Consider the following 4,459-nt stretch of genomic DNA (forward strand, 5'->3'; position numbering starts at 1 on the left):
CTAGCATGGTGCATGGAAAACTGTTATAACAAATAAGTAAACTGAGTATACTGTTGTTTTCCATGCTGGGGTAAGTATAAACTATTGGAATAAATACATTGTACAGATGAGGAAACTAAAGCTCAGAAAAAAAAATGTGATATGTCCAACATCATACAGCTAATAAATAAGCAGTGTCCAGTGTGAGAAAGCCTCGTCCAGAGCTCTCTTCTACTCCATCATGCCACATCCTACACATGGACAGCAAGAGTGAAAGATCTTAGATGTCTTCCAGGAACCTCAAACTCAGCATGTCCAAAGGTCCTCCCTTCGGAAAACAAAAAGACCTGGTTCCCATTCAGTGTTCTCTTTCTCTGAAAACGTCATCCCCAGTTGCTCAAGAAAAAAACTCAAGTCATTTCATGACTCCCTTTTCTCCCTATCCCCCCATCCAATCAATCAACAAATCTTATCAATTACAATTTTCAAAGTTAGTGTCGGCCGGGCATGGTGGCTCATGCTTGTAATCCCAGAACTTTGGGAGGCAGAGGCAGGTGGATCACCTGAGGTCAGGAGTTCGAGACCAGCCTGGCCAACATGGTGAAACCCCATCTCTACTAAAAATACAAAAGTTGCCAGGTGCGGTGGCTCACGCCTGTAGTCCCAGCACTTTGGGAGGCTGAGGCGGGTGGACCATTTGAGGTCAGGAGTTTGAGAGATCAGCCTGGCCAGCATGGTGAGACCCTATCTCTACTAAATATATAAAAATTAGCTGGGAGTGGTGGGTGCCTGTAATCTCAACTACTTGGGAGGCTGAGGCAGGAGAATCGCTTGAATCCAGAGATGGAGGCTGCAGTGAGCTGTGATCATGCCACTGCACTTCAGCCTGGGCGACAGAGTGAGACTCTGTCTCAAAAAAAAAAAAAAAAATACAAACGTTAGCTGAGCATGGTGGCGGGCACCTGTAATCCCAGACAATAGGGAGGCTGAGGCAGGAGAACTGCTTGAACCTGGGAGGCGGAGGTTGCAATGAGCCGAGATTGCGCCATTGTACTCCAGCAAGGGCAACAAGAGCAAAACTCTGTCTCAAAAAAAAAAAACAAAAAACTTAGTGTCTCTCTAAACCCTCTGTCACCACCCTAGATCTAAGCACCATCATCCCTCATACAGACGACAAAAATTATTTGCTACTTGGTCTCTACACATTCACTCTGACCAAGTCTTTCCTTCAATCTCCTCTACTTAACAGCCAGGATAATATTTTAATATCATCCTACATATGCCATTCATCTAGTTTTTTAAAGCCAGGCTAGGTTCTCATTAGCCTTAGGATAAAGACCAAAATACACCTGTAGCTCAAAGAACTGCCTACTCTCTAGCCTCTGCCCACCTCTCCAGCCTCATTCTTCATTCTAGTCTTTCTCCTCTTGCTCTGTCTCTAACTTCCTTTCAAATCCTCAGGTTCACCACTCTTCCCTTTGAACTTTGAACATGAAGTTCCCTCTGCCAGAAACCTTTGTCCCACTATAAGCATCTCCCACTGCCATCCTGAATTACTACTTCCGTTTACCCTCCAAGTCTCTTGAAGTGTCACTTCCTATAGGAAACCTTTCCTGATAACCCTAGACAAGGGGAAAGTACCATGTCAGGCACTCCTACCCAACCCTTTTGGAAATGGCATTCATCACACTTGCAATTATTTATTAAGTATATCCCCTATTAGAATATAAGCTCCATGAAGTCAGGGAAAGCATTTGTTTTCACTGATGTATCCACAGTGCTTAGTACATGGTAGCTGCTCAATCAATATAAATTGTCAGAATTATAGGTTGGGGCCAGATTATAGAGGGCTATAACATCAGTAAACCAAAGAGCAAGGATCATTATCCCTTTGCAAATAAGTAAACCGAAGCAGAAAGAAATGAATAGTTATTTAAGGTCCCAGAGACAGCAGTGATGAGGCCAAATCTAACACTACATTCAGCCCATTTCTCCTCCCTAGGACAATAAAAGAAACTTTGGTGGGTAAGGAAGTATTTCAGAAGAAGAAAATTAGGAATGAGAAGATGGTGCATAAAAGGTCTAAGAGGACAGCTTCTGAATCTGCCTGTTACACTAGTTGCCTCCAGATGGATAGCAGTTAGACTTTCCACACCTAGAGGAGCACTGCTGTTACATAAACAAATATAGCCACTATCACACTCTTCCCGTTAAGAGAAGAGAATAAAATAACAAACTTCTTTCCTGCACAGAGGAGAAGAAACAACCAGGGTGGGTGGGGAACTGTTGTCCTCCAAGTATCTTCAAAAAACCAAATGGGCAGTTTGGCCACCTGGATTGCTACTCAGCAATCCACAGGGAACAGGAAGAAAGAGGGGGGAAAGATCAGCCTTCCCACCACCAGCTGCAGCAAGGATAAGGAAAAAAAAAATGTATTGTATAAGGCAAGCCACTTGAAGACTACTTATTCCTTGGGAATTATGAGAACATTTCATGTAGAGCATTTAAAAACCTTGCTAATCCATAGGCAGGTGCCAGTGAAAGGAAAAGTGGCATGAGCCCAACTGCAGCATTTCATTGTTCACATGCTGCTGGGGCTAAATTATGTCTGTCACAGGAACTACAAACCAGACCAGGGGTCAGGCTCATTGCTGCTCATCCTGCCAAGCACAGACTGCAAGAAAAAGAAAAGGCAAAGAAATTCTCTTCAAAGAGGATTCTGCAAAAATATTCACATAGTCTACATCCACCCAGGAGTTCCTAGTTGAAGTGGAGGACCAGGGAGTGTGTTCTAAGATTGAAGAGAAAGAGATGTGATATGCTGGTGATAAAGGAGGGGTTTTGAAACAGAAAGGAAAAATGTAAACTGCAAATGGAGAGATAGAGAAATAAACAGAATTTCAAGAGATGTGGGTGGGATGGGGTGGGGTGGGGGGAAGAAATGAAAGTACAGGAGAGAAGGGTAGGGTGTCCAGAAGAGCAGAGCGTCATCAACAGAGAGACGCAGAGGCAAAGGCTAACTGTTGATCTTTTCCCAAATCCAAAAGCTGCTCATTGGCATCCCAATAAATCACTCTACTACAAAGCCCATACAATGGACTGTCCTTTGCATTCAGCATCAAGCAGCATTTAATGAAATATCACACAGCTACAACTTTGGAGACCTAAGGATCTGAATTTAAAATGAACAAAATTGGCTTAGCAGCAGAAGACAGCCAGTAAAGAATTTCGCCCATGTCTGACTCAGCTAGGAAAAGGTTTAGCATTCTAGAGTTAAGCAAATACTCTGGCATTTCTCCTTCTTTTGACATTCCAAGAGGGGGTGTGGTTGACCCCAGGCCCATTCATTTCCAAGGGTGTAGATCTCTCAGCCAAGACTGGCCCCATCTGTTGTGGAGCCAGCCAGCTGTTTATCTCAAAGTAACATATCTATTGCCCTAATTATCCCTATAACTCTTACAAGAGCATCATGTAAGTCAGAATGCTTTCTCTCCTGTTAAATGTCAGTTCGTTTAAAAAAACAACAATAACAAAACAACCAAAATCACTCTTCCATGGGCACCTTTCAGTAATGGCAAATGAAGGTTAACAGCGCTTCTAACTTTCCCTTTCTCTAATGTGTTAAAATGAACCCCTCTTCCCTAATCGATCTCTTCAAACCGTTATTTGTGAGTAGTGACTATGCCTCAGGAAACAGCAGCTCATTATGGTACCATTGTCAGTGGCAAAGAGCCTATGCAATGTAATTTAAAACACACAAGCACAAATCTGTCGGCTCCACTTCCAAACAATCTTGAATCCAGCAGTCGGAGAACGGAAAACATTTAACAAAAACGCTGCTTCCAGCAGCCTGAAAGAACCTTCGCCAGACACGTGAAATGTTTCTGACTGGCACGGAGTGCACCATTAAAGGACACTGTCACCTCAAATCAGCAGAAAAGGCGAGACAAACCACATAGACATACACACATAAAATAAAGCCCTACAAAACTTAAGCACGTTCATCTTAAAAATTAATAACTAGTGCTCGTCCAAGCGACATTCAAATGTTCTAAAGTAGTGCGACCACATTAATTCACTGTCTCCATTTCTCCCCACGCATCACCCCTTCCCACTCAAACCTCAGCTCTCGGGCCGTGTGTGACAGGACTGCAGTCCCCCACCTCTGCCTTCCTCAGATTTTCCAAGAGCACTCCCCAACATCCTTCCCAGCCCAGCCCCCTCTCTCCGCCTCAAAAAGGTTGAGAGGAGTTGCGACTAGGGAATTGGCAGGCACCCGTCCTCTGGCGGGGGAAGGTTGCTGGAGTTGTTCTTTGCAGTGACCCAAATGGCACAGAGCTTTTCCCCTTAGCTGTGCCTGCAAGCCTCTCCCCAATCCCCCCCACCTCCCCACCGCTCACAGCTTCCCAAAAGAAAGCCTTGAGAACTAAGCGGGAGGAATAACTTGGTAGAAGCATTTGAATAAATCACTTCAACTCAC

At 44.1% G+C, this 4,459-nt stretch overlaps 1 protein-coding gene across 3 annotated transcripts in view, besides 2 other annotated features; it reads right to left on the reverse strand.

Moving 5' to 3' along the window:
* RAB30 (RAB30, member RAS oncogene family) overlaps positions 1-4,459 on the reverse strand; it is a 98,765-nt gene that overhangs the window by 94,099 nt on the left and 207 nt on the right. Inside the window, exon 1 of one of the 3 annotated variants that reach the window (NM_001286061.1) lies at positions 4,101-4,231. The exons of the other annotated variants lie outside the window; for them this stretch is intronic. The gene's annotated coding sequence lies outside the window, so the exon portion shown is untranslated. Of the gene's footprint in view, positions 1-4,100; positions 4,232-4,459 lie in introns of those variants that run through there. 3 annotated transcript variants of the gene reach the window in all.
* Positions 2,556-2,605: an enhancer, noted in NCBI's record as "active region_5343". NCBI's record gives its function as "activates an Ori minimal core promoter by ATAC-STARR-seq in GM12878 lymphoblastoid cells {active_cell/tissue: GM12878}" and the evidence as "EXISTENCE:reporter gene assay evidence [ECO:0000049][PMID:35858748]".
* Positions 2,626-2,855: an enhancer, noted in NCBI's record as "active region_5344". NCBI's record gives its function as "activates an Ori minimal core promoter by ATAC-STARR-seq in GM12878 lymphoblastoid cells {active_cell/tissue: GM12878}" and the evidence as "EXISTENCE:reporter gene assay evidence [ECO:0000049][PMID:35858748]".

This window comes from Homo sapiens, chromosome 11 (genome assembly GCF_000001405.40).
Source record: "Homo sapiens chromosome 11, GRCh38.p14 Primary Assembly".
NCBI classification, from domain to species: Eukaryota; Metazoa; Chordata; class Mammalia; order Primates; family Hominidae; genus Homo; species Homo sapiens.